The sequence below is a fragment of the Homo sapiens genome, chromosome 7 (assembly GCF_000001405.40).
Source record: "Homo sapiens chromosome 7, GRCh38.p14 Primary Assembly".
NCBI classification, from domain to species: Eukaryota; Metazoa; Chordata; class Mammalia; order Primates; family Hominidae; genus Homo; species Homo sapiens.
In genome coordinates, this window is record NC_000007.14 from 121,904,876 (window position 1) to 121,928,023 (window position 23,148).

Consider the following 23,148-nt stretch of genomic DNA (forward strand, 5'->3'; position numbering starts at 1 on the left):
AATAATGATATTAGGTAATCTACAATCTTTTAGCTTTTACATGAACCTAAGAATTAAAGCTGGGTCTTTAACTTGAGTTTGGTAGATTTAAAGTAATTACGTTTTTGCTGTCTACGAAAGTTGTTTAGTTAAAGATATTGTAAATGAACTATAATTATGTAGATTTACGTCTGCTTTTAAAACACTTGTGCTCTTTCACTGATTTGAACCTTCGTATATGCTTTCATATTTATTTTGCCAAAGAAACTATAGATAATTTGATTCCATAGCAGGATGTTGAGGAAGACTTTTTCTCTTGCCTTGGAATCACTGCTATTGGTCCTTGGGAGAACACAATGATGTCTAAGAATTCCATGTTTTATAGCAAACCACCAACCATAGTAAAAGGTAGCACCTTTTCCAGGTCTTACTAAAAGAACAGATCCTACTACTGTCAACTTTTACCCCAGCATCCCTCACACCTCTCCCTAGGCCTTATGAGAAGAGTCGTGGACAAAGGAGACGAGGAGAGTCATCAAGGACAGCTGCTTCACACAATGCTTTGGTAAAGGGTCTTGTCCCCAGTTTCCCACTTCAGCTTCAACAAGGCCATGCAGATATGAAATTGGAGCATGAGCATGAGAATCATTCAGAAAGATCTAAAATATCTGCAACAAGTGGAAATTGACATCTATAGGGAGATTCAAATCTAAGATTTTGTTGAAAGTTAATCTGAAGTACATGTAACACTTAACAGTGATTTCTGCACCCGGCCGAATTCTGGGTTCTATTCTTTACACACACACACACACACACACACACAAATGGTGGGCATCTGTGCTTTAAAGGTGAAAGAAAAAGAAGGGTCTGTGATATAAATTCAAATTTAGACCTGCTGTAAAAATACAGTATCTTTTCTGTATGGTTGGGCCGCAAGTAAATCTGGAAGCATTTTTTTGATAGATCACCTGGTCATTTTACCACTTGCTCTTTCTTTTACAGTTTTGCTCAATCACCCTGTTGGTATCCCTTTCCTGGGTTTTTGGCATAATTTACAAGAGGCACTGATGATAGTGAGTACAAGTAGGTTTATTTCTATTTCAACTGCCTCCACTAAACAAAGGGCAAAAAAACCTTGACTGCATGAGAGATTGCTTCTCAAATAAAAGCTGTGGTTTTCTGTGTATATGGTAATACTCTTACCTTCCCTGTAATGTTTCAGTGGTACTTTTTTTCTAGGAAACTGGAGAACTTAATTTTATACAGGAATCTCTGGTCTTAGAACTTAGCCTAGTGGTAACAGTTTTAAAAGGTCTCTACCTCCATTTAAAGGAAGCAATTATTCCAAAAGCACAGGATCTCTGGTTGACTAAAGACTGTATCAAGGATGAAAGATTATGTCTGGAATATTTCCTGCCTTATGAACTTTTGTGTTCAAAATATAAATTTTAGATTTAAGGAGGCATGTGGGTGTGTATTGCTCACTCTCTGATATACAACATGGTTATTTTATGTTTGGTAGTAGTAGTTAAAATAAAACTATATTAATTGCCTTCTTACTAATGTACTAAAGGCTAAATGAAAGAAATTTTTCATCAAATGTTATAAATTTTGTTTGATTGTATCAATTTGAGATACGGTTCAGTATTTTAGAACCAATGTCTTAAGGTAGGCTTCCATAGTTGCAATTAAGCTTCATAAGAAATATAATTAAGTTGAAGCTTGGCATTGTTTGGTAGGTGTCTGGCTGGCACCACGTTTTCCAAAAATAAGATTTGTTTGAAGGGGCTTGGGTTTTTCCCTTAATTTCAAGGTTATGTCTTGGATGGGGCTTGGGAAAGGGCAGTGGGTTCTGACTACACGTCAAAGATGTTAAAGACATTCACTGGCTTGACATCATGTGGACAGTGGCTTGCTTATTCTTCGTTTCCTAGTATCAATTAAAATAATAAATGGTCAGGTTTTGCTCACACTATTTTTAAAATGAAGTTTATGATCCATAATTTTGTGAAATAAACTTGAGTTGTATTCAGTACACATATGGAATAGTAAGTTATTACATTTTAAAGATGACAGTGATGTAATGGTATACTTATATATTATGTTTGCAGATAGATTTTTCACAGAACAAGATTCCTCGGTTTTAATTCTACAATGTGATATTGGAATTAAAAACAAGTCTCTTATGTGTGAATATTTTATCTCTATTTGTTATTATCAAAATAAACACTATTCATAGAGTTCAATTTCATCAATAATTAATAATGTGACTAATGCATGATAAAAAGAATAAGTTAAATTATGTTTTTTGCTTACAAATATCACATTAATTGAATAACTGGAGTAATATTATGCTGCTTTTATTAAATATGTAGTGACAAGTCTAGAAAATAAACTGATTGGCACATTTGTTAAAATCCATGTTAGTTTTCCTGAAGAACTACACACCCTAATAAATAACTTACTTATGTTCAAAATGAATTAAATGTGGCAAATAATTCCAAGACATTTATTTTACCTAATTATATGTGGTTGAACAACTAGGAACAAATATTTTACAAGTGAAAACCATAAGACACATTTTTTTAGGACATATGTATATACTAATGCTTTTTACCATTTATTATTTGCTGATAGTCCAGGACCATATATTAAAGAGTGATTTCAGTATCCATCTAAATTTTCATATGGTTTCATTTAATCATAGGATTAAGAGAATATTTTAAATGATTAGAAAATATCCTCAATTTTTTCAAGGTTTAGAGTATTTATATTTATACGTTAAAATCTTTGGAAAGGCCTAAACTCAGGGTGTTTTGAAATTATGTAAATTAATATATTTAGGATCTAATTTATTTTATATCTACATTAGCTTTTCCATGTATAAGTTTCACAAATAAATAAACTTCACAAATAAAATTAATAAAAGCTAATTAAAAATATCAAACACCTTTCTTTTTCAAATGTGTAATTTAATGAGATTCTGAATTACCTTGATTATTTCTAAAAGTTACTATTTTTTCAAATGAAAATAAAACTTAGCCACCATTTGAAGGCTATATGCTCTTAGCTTAAACTGATACACTTGCAAATATAGCTATCCAACTGCAAAATAATAATCAAATTTAGATATTCAGACTCTGAGTAGAGAATGGAAGAAGTTGTTTGGCTGATGTGAAAATTGAACCAATGATTTTAATTTTGAACATACTAAGCTCTAACCAAATGTGTCAAGTGTTGCCAAATAAATATAGAGGAAGAGGATACCATGTTTTATATTAAGAAGGGTTAATCATTTGTCTGTAGAATAATTTCTCTTCAAGGTGCCAGTGAAATGTATTAGTGATGGTTAGTTAACTATAACCTGACCACATAGTTACCTTATATGGTCAGGTTATACAACAGGTCACCTGTTGTCAACTCCATATCTTTCTAGTTCCACCACTCCTGTAGCAGCTATATGCATTGTAAGTAGCAGATTTTATAAAATGTGTAGATCAATCCCTTTGGAAAAGAATATCAACTATACATCATCTGTATTTCTTAATTTTATCCTATTTTTTCTCTTTCTTTTAAGAATACTAATGTATCCAACTTTTATATTCCTTTTTGTTTGTGTTATATTTTAGTTTCTGCATAAGATTTGTTTTTTACCTAGCCTTTCTAATGGGGTTTCAGATGTTCATACTCCAGTCTTACAGGTCCTCTCCTCTAGAATGGTATCTTTTACGTCTGTAATGTTCTCTTTATTTCCATTACCCTTTAATTACAAGTAACCATACTTCAAGTAAGCAGCTTTTAAAAATTAAAAACTTGAATAAATTGCTATTCAAAATGGGTTATTGAATAATTTTAATCTAAAAATGTTTTCAATAAGTACATTTCAGGCTAGAATAACATTACTAATGACACTTTATTAATAGTGCTACTCATCTTTCTGGGATAAATGTGAGATACTCTTGGATAAGGAATGGGAAAGTCCAAATATAGTTTTGTATATGGAAATATATATAAAATATATAGTGTGGAATTTTTTATTGAATATTCATTGGTGCCTGAATATCTCATGGGAATTCATTTAGGATTTGCAGAATATTTAGCAGACATGTTAGACTTTAGTATTGTCACATTTTGGATTATTTCTGATTATTCGATGTATTAGATATATGTGCTAATGTAATTTTGGAATCAATTTGCTTGCTCTCTTCTACCTTCAAATTAAACTTAAAATTAGAGTATAATGGCACAACACAATACATGCCTTAAAAAACTGGAGGACAAAGTTATTTTTAGCCTAGAATTGTGAAGATAGAACAAGACAATCTAAAAACTTTTATCTTGTGACTCTTTTTTCAGAAGCTGCTGGAGTATATGCTCCAGTGCTCACCAAAATAAGGGAATAAACCAATAAAGGGGATTCATGGGATTCAGGAAACCAGAGTTGCAGCCAGTGAAACAGCAATCAAAATGACCTGAGCACACAAGCTAGGCAGAGCCTGCTGCCCTCAGTCCAACTGGAACGAGTTCCAGTCCAACTGGAATGAGAGGATTTCGGGGAGGAAAGTGGAAATTCTATATTACTTATTCATTGACTGCATCAGACAATATATTAATCCATATGTGTTTTGAAAATCTAGAAGTGTTTTACAGATTTGGAGAAAATTAGCAATTGGTCCTGAGAAAATAATCAAATTTAAAAGACCTTAATTAACTGCAAGAAAAAGTCGAGTAGAAAGTATAATCATAATACACTACTTTGCTCAACAGTCATGAATATTTACATAATGATAACGTTGAATACCTCTAAAATATGATATTTATACTCTAGGTTTGGAGAGAATAGAACTATTTAAGTTAGCATAAATACTTATACATGAAAGTAAAAAGGTAATATATAGTATCTAAAATTTAGAAGTCAAAAATTACAATAAGAGTATGTTATCTGAAAATATGGAGTTAAATTACAGAAGAGATAGCTGAAAGAATTGAAAATGTGACCTGTGGGACACTGGACTGGAGAGGTGGAGTGAAATGAAGCAGGGTACAGCTGCTTTCCATTATGAGTCTGGCAGTAGTCCTTGAAGTTTTAAACTACATGCATGTCTAACAAAAAAGTAAATATTTTTAAAAGGGCAAAAAATACTGTGATAACTCTTGACAGTTTGCAATGTAGAAAAGAATGGAAGAGGCTGTCTTCATCTTTTGAAGCTCATTTCCTGGTAATCTCCCCTGCCTGCTCTCAGCTTCAGCCATTCTGGCCTTTTTGCTGTTTTTCCAACACATGGGGCTTGGTCTTGTCTTAGGAACTCTGCGCCTGTGCCAGCACTGCTCTTCCCTCAGGTGTCTGCAGACTTCTTCGCTGATCTCTTTCAAGGCTTTGCTTGAATGTCACTTCTCAGCAAGGTTCCCCTTGACCACTCAGTCTAAAATTGCACCTGCTCATGCATCTGCCTTATTCCGCTCTAATGCTTTTCTCCATAGTGTTTATCACCTTCTTAAATACTGCATGATTAAGTCATTTATTATGGTTTTTGTTAACTTTCTATCTCCCCTTGCTACAATGTGAACTACACAAGGACAACATGTTTGTGGTTTGGATGGCTGGGGGGTCCACCAGTGCATCTCAAGTGCCTATATATATATATGAAACATATATATGGAACACTTTTTATTTTAATGAGCTATTCAGTATTTCAGTAAGCTATTAAATGGTGCTTGGCATACAGTATGTAATCAGTATATATTAGTTGAAGGTATCAATTAACTAAATGAAGAAAGAAAAGACTAAAAAAGGAAGGGAAGAAAAAAGAGAAGGTGGGACAAAACAAGGGACACAAGTTAGGAGGCAAATGCATTATTTCATAAGATGGTGGTGGTTTGAGTTTGGGTAGAGGCACGATAAATGGAGAGAAGTGAATGAATTTGAAATAGGCTTGAACATAAATTTGGCATTATAATGAAAAATATGATTATTTCTAAAACCAATGTTTCATCTGTTTTATAAGCAGGAAATACCTGAAAATAAGGAATGTCAAGATTCTAGTATATGTTATTAGAAGTGAATGGCATTCATAGTCATGGAAAATAAAGTTAAATTATTAAATGCTATTTAAAGCCACAGAAGTTCTAGACATCGAATAAAAATAAGAATGATACAATAACTTAGCTAATGACAACAATAAAAGCTTTTGTAGAGTTTTCCTACAAGTTTTACAGTTTAGCTTGCCTGTAAGTTACAAATACGAGGATTTTTGTGCTTTGAACTATAAAAGCTCATACCTAAGAGTAATGAAAGGTTTAATATTGTACTTATTTAATAGTGCTTTCTTCTATTAAAAACATAGTATTCTATTCTTATTTATAATTTTATGGAAACCAATTTCACTAACATTTATAAAGTTTGATTTGAAAATAAATTATATTTCTTAATAATTATATGCACAGTTATGACCTGCATGGATTTAAGCTTTCGCATAATTTAAAAATCCATATCTTCATTTTGACTGTATATTTGAAAATACTGATGACAGAGTAATCTGATTGCACTGTAACTGGCCATTTTTGTGAAATAAAGTCCTTTTTTCTTGTCTCAGTAGTCATAACTAGTTACGTGTATATTGTGGTTTTCTTCCATATAAATGTTTCTAGATTGCGTACATTTAAAATAACTTTTCATGTCTAATTCTGATGCACATCTTTAGCAAATATGAACAGCAACCTTGCCACTGTCTCTGATTCTTAACTTCTTCCTTCTCTTATCCTTTCCTTATCTTATCTTCTTTCCTTTTCTTATCCTTTCAGAGCCTCTTCCTTTTCTGAAACTTAGATGGGAGATAGGAAGGTATGGTTGTAAAAGCATTACATCTGTCATATGATCTATCACATATCATATAAGAAAATGCATTATATTTTGGAAACTTTAATTTTATACACATATATATGAAATATGTTCATATGAAATACATTTCACTTTATTAAGCTATTCAATATCTCAATAAGCTATTCAATATTACAGGCACCTAGATAACTAAAGGTCAGTCATTACATTTATTTCAGTGTAAGAACTTAACGGGGAAAAATTTAAGTTCTGTTAATGAGTTTCTAATAAAAGTAGACCTGTTTTGAAAACAGAAGTGTCTGTTTCCTTGTTATATTTGAAATAAAAAATTATGATGAAGCATTTTCCAGTGTATGAAACTAAGATTCTTTTATCCATAAGGGACTAATGTGTAGTTGAAGATGTCCGTAATTGAACAGCAGGAAGTATTAGATAAATTCAAGAAAGCCCAGTAAATCCTAGAGGGAATTAGAAATAAAGTTCATATATTTATTGTTAACTGCAACCATTTTATATGAAAATTATAACAAGGCAAAGCTTACATTTCATTATCAATATAGTGTCCCTATCCACTGTTCTTTGATAGCAGTCAAGTATGGGAAACAATATAAGAGATGGTTATGAAGTTGATAACGTGTTTAGCACTGGTTTGTACTCATTCTGTATCCAGGAATCTCTTTTTATTCATTGTGTTAAATATTCATGAGCACTTACTCTGTGTCTGATACTATGATGTAGAGGATCGAAGAGTGTACTAGTTTCTGCTCTTAAAGTAATCCATAGGCAGAAGAGAGACATACAGGTGTATGTTCATTGAAATATGACAGCTACCATTTGAAAAATGCATGGAAATATAGATGCTTAGTGCATTTGGTAAAGAAGCGGGTGAGACTAAGGGAAGGGGAATTTTTAGGGTAGCAGTGCTTAAGTATGTTACAGGGGCTTAAAAGAACAGTTCAGTGAAGGAGAGATTGAAGTCCAGAAAATCCTGGAGAAGGTAGGAGGATGGGAAAAGAGTGGTGGCATCTGTCTCTATGAGATACAATGAGAAAGACGATGATGAAAATAGAACTTAGTTAAAAGGTGAAGAGGAGGGAACTTGCAAAATTTCCCGTTTTCTGTTTTCTTGGTGAGAACAGAATGTTCAGTCTGCTCCTGATCATAAAAGGAAGGATTTAGCAGTCACTGATCTGAAAAAGGTTGGGGAACAGAGACGGGTAAATGAATTATGGGTGTCAGGGAACATTCCTCTAAGATTATAAATCCTAAATTTGTCATTTATTCATGTAATGAATATTTACAGAGCACGTTTGCCTAGGTTAGGTGTTGAATATGCAGCAGGGAGCAAGATAGGCACATTTTGAATTCTTAAGCAGTTCATGCCTTCATGACACAGTAAACAAATATTAAAAAATTATTACTCAATTATAATTGTGAGAAAGACCGTAAAAGTTAAAGAAATGGTATTAAGATACCATATGATGCATGAGAAGGCTTGGGATTGGGTGAGGAGGCAGAGAAAGGAGAAAGTAGAGATACCCAGTTGGAGAAATGGCTGAGCAAAGGCCCTGAGACCAGGTGCTTGAGGGAGGCAAGGCTTCCCACTCAGTGTGCTCTGGTGCCACTCGTGAATTACACGTGTGTCAAATATTCATCCGCTCAGCTCTTATGTGTTATTCCAAGGCACAAAGAACATTATCACTTTCTAACTGAGCCATAATATGAAATAGTTTGAGAAGCTTTGCATTAGGGGAAGTGACCTCAGAAAGTTTTCATCTGTAGCACCAGCAAGGTGCATGGAATAAATAAAATATCTGGATGTTTTATTAATTTGGCCCTTCTTGTGTGTTTATAGTCATTGAATTAATTGGTTTATTCAGCAAATAGGTAGTTGATAAAATGACACTGCATTTAACCTGGCTAGTTTTATAAATATTACAAATTGACACAGAGACGGTCCACAATATGGAAGTTTATCTTGGGGTTTTTTATGAAAAGATTTAAAAAATTATCTTACCTTAGCAGGTATGGGGGAAAGTTTTCTCTCATTTCTTTTCCATTGAGTATTGTCAGTAAAATAGAATAAGATTGAGTGAAATTTCAAATTATTTAATGTTCAACCAAAAGAATTCTCAACTTATTCACACATATATATTAAGTAAAGAATTCAGAAAATCATTAATAAAGTTCAGACAAAAACCGTCTAACCTAATTCCCGGGAAAAAAACTGGAACTCTGCCTAGAATTATCCAGCTACACAGTCTGTATTCATTTTTTAATTGCATACCTTATCCTTTTTATCTCTGTGTATAGCACCTATTTAAAAGAAACAGAAACCTGGCCTGGTGTGGTGGCTCATGCCTCTGATCCCAGCACTTTTGGAGGCCGAGGCGAGCAGATCCCTTGAACCCAGGAGTTCAAGAGCAGCCTGGGCAACATGGTGAAACCCTGTCTCTAAATAAATATGTAAAAGAAAGAAACAGAAACCAGACATTTCTGTTTTTAGCTGTGGGTTGCTACACCTCTGTGAAATCATAGGTGTTTACCACTGTCTTAAATCACTGGTTTATGATTACTTGATATTTTCTGGATTTTTAAAACATTACTTCTTTTTTTAAGTGGTGTAGAAGTAACGTTTTAGCATACTATAAATTTCTGGTAATAATTTGTATTACAAAGGTGCATATTGTTTAAGGTCCCAAGTAAGCTTTATGTATAGAAAAGGTTCCTCTGCTCTTTCTTTTTGTCCTCAAACGTAAACTTCTGGAGACCTGGAGAGAATGAAAGGCGTCCGAGTGTGTGTCCATGGCAATCCGCTAGCTGTGTGGAGGAAGTTACAGTGGCATTAAGCCATGAAAAGGATCAATTGTTTTTGTGAAAAATCCTTGGGACGTGCCTTGAATTTAAAGAATCAAGTTCATTAAAATCATAAATCATCTATTAATCTTATTTTGTTGAAATATCCTTGGTGGTCCATGGTATTTTAAAGACCAAAATTGTAAAAAATGTAGTTAAAGTAACAACATAATGGGATTGTTGAGGACCGTGAAATAATATCCTCAATGCCTTTTCTTCTTGAGGGTTTTTACTGGATACTTGCTCTACCTATACCTCTCCTAACTACAGAACTGAACATGATGTGAGATGTGTAACTTTCATTTATTCACTCATGTGCCAGGCACCATGCTGACATTACATGTGAAAAGTTTCCAAGGTTTTCTTGTTACGTCTACAATTACTGCTAAGTTTCCCGTAAGTAATTTGGGGGACTGGAAACGAGGGCAAAATTACATGAAGGGCTTAGAAAACTGCATCAATTCTTTTTGGATGTGTCAGGGAGATGGGGGTAGTCTTTCTCCCTGCTAATCAAGACCCACTAGAGCACCGCCGTATACTGCACACATACTTCTGAATGACAGGAGCTTTGTGTGAGATGAGAAAGCTGTGTCAGGCTGATGGTATTATCATGATTCCTTGGAATGGATCACCATCCCAAATCACCAGACACTCCCTGATCAGGAGGGAACAGCACATTCTCCAGCTACTGTATTATTTGGGAGGTTCAGGTAGGAAGTGAGTGCATAGCCTCAAGGGGTCTGGTGGAGGTCCTCTTGGGAAATGCAGAACTTCTTTGCCTACTAATGCCCCTTGCTCTGAGACCGGAGAGGCTTCTGGGAATTTTATCCTCACAAGAAACATTCATTTCATTTAAATAGTATGTGAAGCAAGACATTTAAGTTAGTTAGAGGTGCATATCATTTAAAATGGCAGGAGATGACAGTTTCTGCAAGCCATTTCTGAAGTTAAAAAACAAGGTAGTTTAAAATAAATTGTATTTCAGCAGTCACTATTTTCTTAATTTACCAATGAACTTGAATGACATATTAAAGAACTTTAGGCATTATACTCTGGTTTGTGATCCGCTTGAACACAAAATGCATATTATGTGATCTTATTTCCAAGGTTAAATCAGTGTATCCTTGGCTAGATCTATAATAGCTTATCAGATAAACATCTTCTGTCAAAATAATATTTGCCATTAATGAAATTAATGGCAGAAGTATAAACTTCAGAAAGATATGATCACTTAGATGCTAAAAAATCTATTAAGGAAAACAGGTTACATTTCAATATCTTTGTCTTTGTGTTCTATGATATGTAAATTCCAAGGTGTAAATCCTTTCATAAAAACATTTTTTTCTTTTTCCTAGACTTAGAGAGAAACATTGACTTGCCCACAGAGCTAGCTCCTTTGATGTGCAATAATGCTACCTGTGGTCTGTTTTAAGATGCTCTTTTTTGGCCAGGCGCAGTGGCTCATGCCTGTAATCCCAGCACTTTGGGAGGCCGAGGCGGGCAGATCATGAAGTCAAGAGATTGAGACCATCCTGGCCAACATGGTAAAACCCCGTCTCTACTAAAAATACAAAAATTAACTGGGCGTCATGGTGTGCGCCTATAATCCCAGCTACTTGGAAATCCGAGGCAGGAGAATCACTTGAACCTGGGAGCCGGAGGTTGCAGTGAGCCGAGATCGTGCCACTGCACTCCTGACTGGCGACAGAGTGGGACTCCATCTCAAAAAAAAAAAAAAAAAAGTTCATTTTTATTTAACCGTTACCATTATCACATTAGACAGTGCAGGAGTATGTTAATTATCTCTAGGTGTCCCAGTGGCCTAGTAAGTCCAGGGCAAAATGCCAGCAGAGTCCTGGCCAAAAACACTACATTAACTTGTTCAGTCTCTTGACATCCTCACAAACAGAACAGTAAACCTGGAGAGAAAACATGTTTGTTCCAAATGAGTTAACTATTCCAAAATAAATAATATCTAACCCCTGGCCAAGAATTTGTAATTGTGTATAAAAAGTAACTAATGGGATGTATTCTCCAAGACTATTAATTATGTACTGAACAGGAATGCTTTTTAAATGTTGTTCCTCTGAGTGCAATAAACCTGTGTAATCTAGGCTACCTAATGAGCATCTTTGAGCATCTGCCACTGCAGAGTACATTCAAATTTCAGGCAAAATTTGGGAAATGCTGTTGCAGCAGTGGCCCAGTAAGACCCAGTGCTGTCATTGGTCAAGATAGGTCACCAATTACAAGACTTGAAGATAAGCATGTTGTGATTGGTGGTTGAAGTGAATCCCCTCTCCTTAAGGCCTCACTTTGGGGATTCACAGAATGGGCATTGTGGAGGCCCCAAGTTCCATGGAGAATGCAACTATTAAATTGAGAAAGAAAAGAAAGTACAAGTGAGATGTTAGGCAAAGAGTAGAGGCATGAGATGGGGACTAAAAGTATCCAGCAGAGGAATGTGAAGCCACTAAAATGATTCTGCTAGCCAGCTAGACCGTACTTAAGCTGTACTAATTGAGACAATAGGATTTGCACAGTTTCCGCTCACTTCAAATAAACTGTACAATACAAGGAAATAAAATGATAACTAGTAATTATCACTTCATAGTCTACTGGCAATGAAAGATTTTTATGTACCGATAAAGCAGTAGATGTAATCTTTTTTGTACAGTTATGAGCAAAATCAGTGATGAATATAGCTAGGTGCTCGTTAACAATGAAAAGCCTACTAATTAGAGATGTCATCAAAGTGTTTAATTTTTTTAAATTGCTAGTGGGGAAATGGTTCACCCTTGAATATCAGGATTTGTATTTTCAATGTGCAGTGAGTGTCCATACTTACCCTTAAAACTAAAGAGCACTTCAGACTAAGAATCAGATAGCATCAGAAAACAAGTGAATAATTTATGACCAAAAAAACATGCAGGGCACATTAGATAAATGTCACATTGCTGTTGCATTTAAAACGAAATTGCTTCACTATTGAAAGAAAAAACCCAAATGCCTGAAAAATAAAATTCAGGAAATGATAATTGTCGTTATAAGCACATTTTTTACAAAGAGTTCAAAATGGTTTTACACATGCCCTATCTCTTGTTACGGTATTATTGTAAGTAAACAGGAGTTTACTTACAGTAAAAATATATATCCCTATTTTTAAATTGTGGAAATACAAGCAAAGAGATGTGACTTGTCCAAGGTCATCACTTAAAGGCAGAATGTAAGATTCCGATCTTAAAAATAAAGTGAAAAGAGGCATAAAAAAATATGTGTTTATAGTTAAAATTAGTCAGATCTCCCTTGCTCATCCTGGTTTCTTTTTGTAATATTGCCCAAGCTTAAGTAGTTTTAATGAGCAATAGCAAGTGGCTTATAAAAGATACTGGCAAATTGAAAATGTCTTAAATCATTGAAGATCCATTGAAAAATTATCAATTTATTATAGTAAATGTGCTTCTTGGGAATAAAGGTTTCTTATTTCTAGACCGGCTAAAAAAAAAAAAAAAAGGAATTCATGCCAAAAATGAATTTTCAGTCAATATACTGGGAAAGGAGTCAAGAAACTCTGCCTTGTCCAGACATAAGTGCACAGTGAATCAGTCAGCATCCTGACAGCAACTTAACATGACCCGCACCTATTTTAGAACAGGTTGTTAACACATAAAGCTGCCAGATTGTCCTGCTTAATGGATAGACAGTGACATTTGGGTTTAATTTTATCTAAGCAAAATGTGCTGTTTTAGAAATAAGATAAAAATTAAAATAAGACTATTTCAAGGTTTACCCACAAAATGCAGACCCAGTGCATCTGATCATCATGGCCAATAAGATGATCTGTGAGTTTGTTGCGTTTCCTGTTTTGCTATGGTTCTTGTTTTTCATTATCTTGGTAGCTGAAGTACTTAACTTGCCTACTATGTGTCAACTTGGCTATTATTTCATAAGCTTAACTTTAAAATGCTGTTAATGCTGCATCTATCATGCAGTCTCTTGGAAGAAGATTTTAAAATGGATTTCAAATGTTTCTTTACAGTCTTAAAACATATTTACAATCTATCTTTAATTTATCTAGTTGTAGAATCAGATACATTCTTTCAGACATTCTTTAAAGTGCATAGACACTTTAAATTTTTTGAATATTTAACAAAAACTCATCAAATATTTGGAAAACCTGAAAACATATGAAAAAATAAAAATCACTCCCAATGGCACCACATAAATTTACATTTCTGTATATATGTACTATTTATAAAATAGTATCATAACTGTTGATATTTTATATCATGTATATTTCAAAAAAAATCAATAAATATATTTGAAAATATACTTATAATGGCTTCACGTCATTTCATATTAGGAACCTTATATAATTTATTTAAACTTCCCCACTTTTTGTATATTAACATATTTTATAGTTATTCAACATTTTTTCAATGTTGTAAACATCTTGGTACATCATGTTAATCTCTGTTAATCTTTTAAAATATGTTCTTTGGAATAGAATTATTGTGTCCAAGATATGAAGAGTTTTAAGGATCTTGATAACCCTTGTCAACTCACTTCCCAGAAAGTTTATAGTAGTTCATTCTTCTACCTGTATATAAAGAAACATATCAAGATTTCTGGATCATCATTGAATATTTAAAAAGTAATAATAAACCTTTGACAACTGGTTAGCTGGAAAACTGCTATCTTCACATTATTTTAGTTTCTGTTTCTTTGACACCAGTAAAGTCTCACAGTTCTTTATAAATTTATTAATTGTATTTGCATTCTTAAAACTTCTGTGCTCATATTTTGCCCTTATTGATTTGTGATAATTTTGTATGTGTGGAATATATTGTAATATTTGTTTAATGTATTTTAACATTTATCAATAGCTTAATTTTACAATTTGTATTTCATTATACATTTCTCTATACAAGTTTTAAATGCTATATAATCAAAGCTATAAATGTTTCTTCATAATATCCTTTTCTTCATACATAGAAATGCATCCCCCATCTTATGATTAATTTAATGTTCACTTTGTAAATAGTTTTTATGCATCTTTTTAAAAACATTCTTTATTCCACTTGTAATTTATTTTTATGTATGTGTCAAGTACAATTTAATTTTTTTCACAAATAGTGTTCCCAACCTTTGAACCTTCATACTTTTCCTTATCTAATTGTGATGTTTCCTTTAACATATATTAAATTTGCATCTATAGTAGGTTCTATGTTAGTGCTGTTTGCTTTTTTCTATTGATCTGTCTATCAATTCATTTTTTTAGTAATTGATTAACCAAGCCTTTATTAATTCACACTTCTTCTAAATGTTCTAGTCAATTTTTACTCTCCATTTATTATTCTATATAAATTTTCAAAAAAATTCTCCAGTTAGAAACATCCCAGTGAGATTTGACCTATTCATTAATATGGAAAAAAAAATCACAACTTCCCCAAATTCACTGTTTCCATTGAAGAATGTAGTAGATCTCTTCATTTATTCACATTTTCTTTTATATTAAAAATAGTTCATATCTTTGTTCCTTTATGAACTTGCTTGGTGTTTTGTGCTTTTCACGGTAAATGTGAATGGAATCCCATTGTATCCTCTAATTGGTTATTTGAGTGTGCCAGTTGTCCAGAACTTCCTGAGTGACCCCAATCAGAAAGGGGCACAGCAGATGTTCTTGCTCTGCGTCAGCTTTCAGTGAAAGTACGTGGGCATAAGATTTCAAAACAGCAATCTTATCATTGCTAAATAATACTATTATGGTAAGATAAGTTAGTAGCATATAATAACATAATACATAAATATAATAACACATTATTTTTGTCATTTGATGAATTGTGTTTGCTACTCCCTTTTATATACTTTTTCTTACACAGATTGGGTTTTCTTCTCACTTCTAATATTATTTTTAGCTCGTTCCTTTAATTGTTATTTGTATATACGTTGATATTTTTGTCTCTGTTCCTATTATCACTGAGCAGTCAACATTGGGTTTTTCTCTTATGATGGAACAAATTCACTGTTATAGACATAAAACTAGGTAACTATAATGATTGTAGTACAATAACAATGAGTTTGTGCTTAGTGTTTTGTTGAAATTATAGAAGGTTGACAGGAAAAAAATGTGGTACTTCATCCACAGATTTTATTTTATACCTGAAGCTCAAGTAAAGCTAGTTTAATAGAAGCTATCCTCATGCATATCGTTTAAGCTCAAGAAATAAATCTTCTGACATTGTCAACTTTTAATTTTAGCACCCAAAAAGTAGAGAATGCTTTAAGTGAACTGTTATGATGCTGTAAAATAATATTTATTAAATTGAGAATATGTCAGTGATTCATTATCATGTAAAGAAATAGGTTACCAAACAGTGTCATTGAATTTAAGTAAAGTCCAAATTTATTATATATAAATATATAACATCTAGAGAAACATACATGCATGGGCAAAACTGTTAATAGCAGTTATTTGTAGGGCATAGGATTACAAGTGATTTTTAAAGTATTTTTGCCTACCTGTATTTTTTCTAATTTATTTGAAATAGGCATGCATTATTATGTCATAAAGATCAAAATTATTAATATGTTTTAACAAAAAATAACTCAACTTTAGAAAGATAGATAAATTACATTAGCTTAAATGCATCTAAGTATAGGAAAATATACTAACTACTTATCAAGATTAGCCTGTGAATATTTTGAGCTTTCATTGAAAAGTTTGAATAGTAAACAAATTACCAACATAGAAATTCTCTCTCTGAAAGCATGTCCAGTGTCTAAGAAACATAAAATCTAATTGCTCACCTTTGAGACTCTCCTTGGTCCTGTGAGACATATGCATTTAATTGGATGTCTCACTACCAAAATAAGCATATGTAAGAAATGACTCCCTTTGTTCTTTTCCATTATCCTTATGTTCAAACTTTCCATCTCCTTGAATGATTTTACCATTTTGATTATATAGTGCCTCAGGCATCTACTTTTTATCTCTTTAAACTTATTCTTAAATAAAGAGGTTACCTGGACTCTTATAACTCATATTTTTCCAGAATTACCTCTTTTTAATGATATGAATTAAAATATCCTCTTATTTTGCATAAAGTTTCTATTTAAGTTTTGAGACATTCAAAAGTACTTTTATTTTGAAGCCTTTGAAGAGAGGAGGAAACCAAAACTCTGCTTCCTAACACTGGAAGGTAGTTGAAATTGGAAAACAAATGGCTTGATATATATACTATAAAAAGTGGTATTTTTTAGGTCTTTTGGTTACACCTGAAGTGGTTAACAGTAAGTGCAATGTTTGAGCTAGTATTATAGCCTAAACAAACCATACTATCTGAATTACCATAATTAGCTAAATTAGGTTTCATAAATGTCGTTGCATGTATACTGAATAAAAGTTTAAATTCCAGATGGGTAAAGATAGGCTGTATGATAATTTAACTTCACAGCAAGCCAATCCTTAACATTGAATGACAGGAAGATCCACAGAGAAAATTTGCCATGTATAATTTTGTAGACTCTGTACTCGTGGGCAAATTTAATTTTACTTGGAAAGTTTGTCTTAGCAAATCAAGGTTTTGGGTTAGATCATTTGGGTCATAAACTCAGCTTTCTTATCAAATGGAGAAAGACAACAAAAATAGAACATCTGAAGATACAAAGTATTTAATAACCAGGTGATGTGTTCATAGGTGTTCTTTAATCAAAAGTTGATTCTGGCTGGGCACGGTGGCTCATGCCTGTAATCCCAACATTTTGGGATGCCAAGGCGGGCAGATCACTTGAGGTCAGATATTCGAGACCAGCCTGGCCAACATGGTGAAACCCTGTCTCTACTAAAAATAAAAAAATTAGCTGGGCATGGTAGTGCATGCCTGTAATCCCAGCTACTCGGGAGGCTGAGGCAGAAGGATTGCTTGAACCCAGGGCGTAGGCGTGGGGTGAGGTGCAGAGGTTGCAGTAAGCCAAGATCATGCCACTGCATTCCAGCCTGGGTGACAGAGCGGGACTCCGCCTCAAAAAAAAAAGTTGATTCTTTTCTTAAAGGAATTCCTATTTTTTATTTTATTCTCAGAGAAAAGACTTATTTTGTTTCCAGTGACAGATGATTGTGACTGCTGTCACTATCAACCGTTGTTTATCAATGCCACTTCAGTCTTAAGCATGTCTTGCTTCAAATTCTTTGGTGGATGATAACCACTCTGATGACAGTATACTATCTCCAGAGGGTTCTAAGTCCTTCTTCAAGCCTTCACAAACTACCTATATTTCTTCACAAGCACACATCCAACCCTTTCATTTCAGTTAAAATATTTTTTGGATTATTTCATACTCTTCTTTGAAATTTTTCCTCAAAATATATGCAACATATGAAATACATTCAATGCCATTCAGTCAACTCAGTAGACTACCTCCTCACTTTTAAAAGAAATCTAGGTAAGAAGAGAGAGTAGGATGAAAGTTAAAAGTGTGAAGATGGATAGTGATCTGTCACCAAAAATAAGTTCCTAGTGATCTATGAAGATCCTACATGAGCGCTCCCTGGACTGTCAAATCTTGAGTTCTGTGATTTCTCACCTCTTGATCCTCATGCCTTTTCTTCTACCTGGAACATTCAGTCCCTTTTCTCAGGTCTCTTCTTTGTCAGTCTTCTTCAAGGTCTTTAATGGTTCATCTCTAATTCTATCATTTCTTTGCCACATTTCTAGACTTCTGCTATCAACTGATCTCCTTTTTATGTCCTCGGATATTCTTTAGTAACTTCTTTAAAGGACGTGAAATATGCAAGAAGTATCATCTACCTTGAACAAATTCACTTTAAGAGATATGGAATCCTAGAATTCAAACTTAGATCTGTGGTTATTTTCTATCTGAAAGTTATTTTTCTTAGGAGCACTGTATTTCTCCCTATTACAGTAATATTTTGGCCACTTATGGCAATAACGTGTGTATGTGTTTGTGTGTGTATTTTGTCAGAGCACTGCTGCTAGAATTTTTAGTAGAATGCAGTTGATAAATTGTTAATCAATATGAAACAGAGACTTTCTTTAGGGTAAGACCACAATCAGAAGCATTTTTAGAATTCAAAATATTTATAATGATTTTTTTTAGTAGAAAATCAGCACCCTGATTTTAACTTGGTGGGGGGGTGGTAAAAATTTTGAGAAAAATTGGTTTCCTTGATAGGGAGTTATCAAGGAAAACAAAACTTTGATTTCCTTTACATAAGTGTAAACAGAAATGAAGAAATATGTCTTTATAATACATATACTAAATAAATATATGTATTTTTATATATGCTTGTATACATACCTGTTTGCATATTTGTAAGTGCTTGAGGTAAGTTCAAGGTGGAATGGGTTGAAAGGAGAATGTTTAGGTTATCTGAAATAATATAAACCAAATTCCTCTCAATTTAGTTAGGAGGTTAGAAAGCTACTTCATGAAGAATATTTTTGGGACAAATTTTAAGGTAACCTTAAAAAAGATTTGCTAATATGTATTTTCTTGTATATCATGTGAACAATCACTTCCTGAAATTTCTTAGTTTTATCACTACAAAATAGTCACACCATAACCGCCTTGTCAAAGATTTTAAATGGAAAGAAACAAAATATAAAAACTACAAAGAAACTGAAATCCACAGAAACAGAAAAAAAATTCTATATTTCATTATTTTAATGGATCCTAAAATGCGTAAGCACTTTGATAGATTCTTTTTTATATAGGATTTCCTGGTTTTCAAAGTATATAATGCAACAAAAAAGTGAACCCAGCTTCTTTTTTTCTTGTTCATTGGAGCTATCACATCTCATCTATCAGACCTCTAAGTAGAATTTTTAAAGTGGGGTACTCTCTCACGCCCAAGCACTATGTAATTAGCATATGAATGTGTAACGGATTGTTTGAAGTAACAATTAAGGGAACAATACATAAAGGAACTGAAGAGAGCTACCAACACCTGGGAATCTTGTATTGAAAAAGCTTTCTTAATGTAAGTAATTAAAAACCAAGGATAAATGTTCATTGTGTAGGGATAAAACTCTACAAGGAAAGCTAAAATTCTGCTGATGTTTTGCTGTTATCCTTTAGAAGGAATCATTAAAACAAGAGCTTACTTTTTTATTTATTTCAATAAAATGCTTGTTAAATACAGGTTTTGCATGGTATCTGATCTCCTGAAGTCACCACAATGCATAACAAAAATGTCTTACATTTCTAAAATATTCATATTTAAAATGTATATAAAATGTCAAGGAATCTTCTTCCTATGGCCAGTGCAGTTTCAGAGAAAATTTCAATTGATTGCCAGGTTAAATCACGTATATAGTCAATTCTTTATAATTTATTTGTCCAAGTAATTCCTGCTAATGAATCTGTAGCCCGCTCTATTGTTTTGCACTATTTTGTGTCTCTTGAAGGCAAGCATGCTATAGAGGCTCCTGCTGAGGCGGAGCACCTTAGGAGAGTAACCAGTAGCTCAGGATTCTTAGGAATCGTTGATATTGAGGGAGGATAAATGAAGTGGAAGGCAGGGACCCCGCATTATGGTTTCCATTTTTTATCACTTGCTGCCTGTACAAACCACTTATGTTTTTTGGCATAAATCTTCTTATCTCTAAAATAAGAATTACTTTTTTCTAGACTGTTAAGTCTCAGTCAGTAACCTTTTATGGCCCTTTCTAATATCCAGTTGTATATATTCATTTGTAATAAAGAAACTCTTAACCCCGGAATTTAACTTAAATCAGTTTAGTCTTAAATAACTAGCATTTTATGGAACAACCATATTTGAAAAATAAATTGTGAGCCTAAGATTTCATTTGTAAGTAGAAAGTGAAACAAAAATGTATGAATATTCATAACAGCATTGTTCATAATAGCCAAAAATTAGAAACAACACAAGTGTCTATTACTTGATGAATGGATGAATAAAATATGGTATATTCAATTGTCAAAACAAAAATTGCACCAAAGTTAAACAGGAAGGAAATACTTTACTCAAGGCTGTTGCAGTAGGGGAGAGAAGCTGGATCCGAGTCTGAACTCAACACACATGAAGCAAACTGGGTCAGGTTTTTAAGTGCTGGAGTGAGCTTGTGGAAAAGAACTGCAGGACATTCAGGGCCATAAGCTATCTGTATTTGCTGATTGGCTTTATCTAAACTACCTCTTGTCATAAAGATATGAGTTTATCTAAATAAATTTAAGTTTATCTAAATAAATCTAAATAAATTCATATCTTTATGACAAGAAGTAGCTTTTACAACTTGGAGCAAGGTGCCCCACTGAAGTTAGGCTCCTACCCTCCCACCTAAACTGGAAGATAAAGGTGCTGTCTCTCTTGTTGATTACTTTTCAAAGAGGTAGTTCCCAGGTCCTTGAGAGGTACATTTCTGGATTATAAAGTTACCAAGTGGCTACTAAAAAGATTTACGCCTCACAGGAGTAGAGAAAGAATTACAAGCCGGGCACAGTGGCTCACGCCTGTAATTCCAGCACTTTGGGAGGCCAAGGCGGGCGGATCACGAGGTCTGGAGTTCGAGACCAGCCTGACCAACATAGTGAAACCCCGTCTCTACTAAAAATTCAAAAAAATTAGCCAGGCGTGGTGGCATGCGCCTGTAATCGCAGTTACTCAGGAGGCTGAGGCAGAAGAATCGCTTGAACCGGAGAGGTGGAGGTTGCAGTGAGCTGAGATCATGCCATTGCACTCCAGCCTGGGCTACAGAGCAAGATTCTGTCAAAAAAAAAAAAAAGGATTACAATTACAATATTCTTAAAGTAAATTCTATAATAAAGGGAAATCAAGGGCCTATGGTCAAGAACAACCCTTTCTAAAGTTTAGTCAAACCAAGGGGAACTTTCAGGCTGTCCTGGTCACCATATGATAGAATATTCTTGGACAGTGAAGGAGGATGATGTATTGATACATGCTATGCCATGTATAAACCTCAAAAGCATTATGTGACGTGAAAGAAGGTGGTCGCAAAAGGCCATGTATTGTATCATTCTGTTTATATGGAAATGTCTAGAATAGTCAAATCTATATAGTCAAAAATATTAGTGTTTTCCTAGGGCTGGGGGATGGGCGTGGGTGTGGGGTGGCAGCTAAGGGTATGGAATTTCTTTTTAGAGTGATGAAAATGTTCTAAAATTGTTTGCAGGAATGATTACAAAACTTCGTAAATATTCTAAAAGCCATTGACTTGTACACTTTAATGGATGAATTGTGTGATACGTAGATTATATTTTAATAAAACTATTGTAAAATATAGATTTATGTTGAAATGTCTTATATAGCCAATAGAATATTTACTTAATATATAGATTTTTACAAATTTAAACACAACCAAAACCTTTATTTTTCCAAAGTACGTTTTGGCTTTGGATAACCTGTGAATTTTAAGTGTGCATTTCTGATAGCTGGCCTGCCTTTTAGTTTTTATAAAATAGTAACTTATTACCATGTTGTAATAATCAGATAGTATATAACATGAAAGAAAGAAAAATAAATTCTGAAATGTCCTTGAGATATTTGCATCCAATAGAGAAAACAAATGTATAAAGAGAATAAGAAGTAATTTCATACTATATAAACAGAGTGCCAATGTATGAATGAATAATGTTCTACAAGTACATTTGTAAACTAGCTATTTGTAGCTTTCTCTACAGAAACAGTTCTGCCATCCGCAATCAGGTTCCAAACCTATCCTGCAAAGATTTATTTTACCCACAGTGTAGCTGAAATGAAGTATTAATGTTAGTACAGTCAGGGATTAAGGGACAATCATACAGGAAGGAGGAGAATGAATCTGAACACTCCCATTTATTGGAAGCAGGCATGGCTCCTGGCAAAATTTTGAATTATGCAGAGTGAGACTGGTTTTCACCCATCTTCTTTTGTCTATCCCTTGCCCCATGTTCTAGATCTAGAGACTCTCTCTGGGTCATGGGGCATTGACTATTTTTATGGCCCTAAGTTTCCCATTGCATTACCTAACTCAAGCATCTCTGTTCCTCCAAGTGACAAATTCACTCACGCTATCTGACGTAACATTTCTCCGAAACAACATATGAACATTTAAATTCTACTTTCTGACCGCAGCTAATTTTGTTTTGCATTAGGAAGGAAGCAAATTTTGAAAGCGTGATAAACTCTGGGTACACTAGAAGCATTTTCAGATAAAACTTGGATTGTAAACATAAAGGTATCTTTAATTAATAAGATTTCAGGCATTAGACTTAGGGAATGGTAACAAAAATTTGGAGGCATGACAAGCTGTCCTTTCTGACTCCAGTCCCTCTTTGGGGCTGAACCCCTCTAAGCTGCTCTTTCATTACCTAAATATGTACTTTGTTTCTGCCTGAATGTCAGCATCCTTTAAACACACCCTCTAAAATTTGCACTAGCTACCAGAACTAGGGCATTGGAGTGTATAATATAATGGTGGTGGTTGAGGTTG

At 33.7% G+C, this 23,148-nt stretch overlaps 1 protein-coding gene across 5 annotated transcripts in view; it reads left to right on the forward strand.

The window, feature by feature from the left end:
- The window catches only part of PTPRZ1 (protein tyrosine phosphatase receptor type Z1), a 188,876-nt gene that overhangs the window by 31,715 nt on the left and 134,013 nt on the right, over positions 1-23,148 (forward strand). The window lies entirely within an intron of this gene.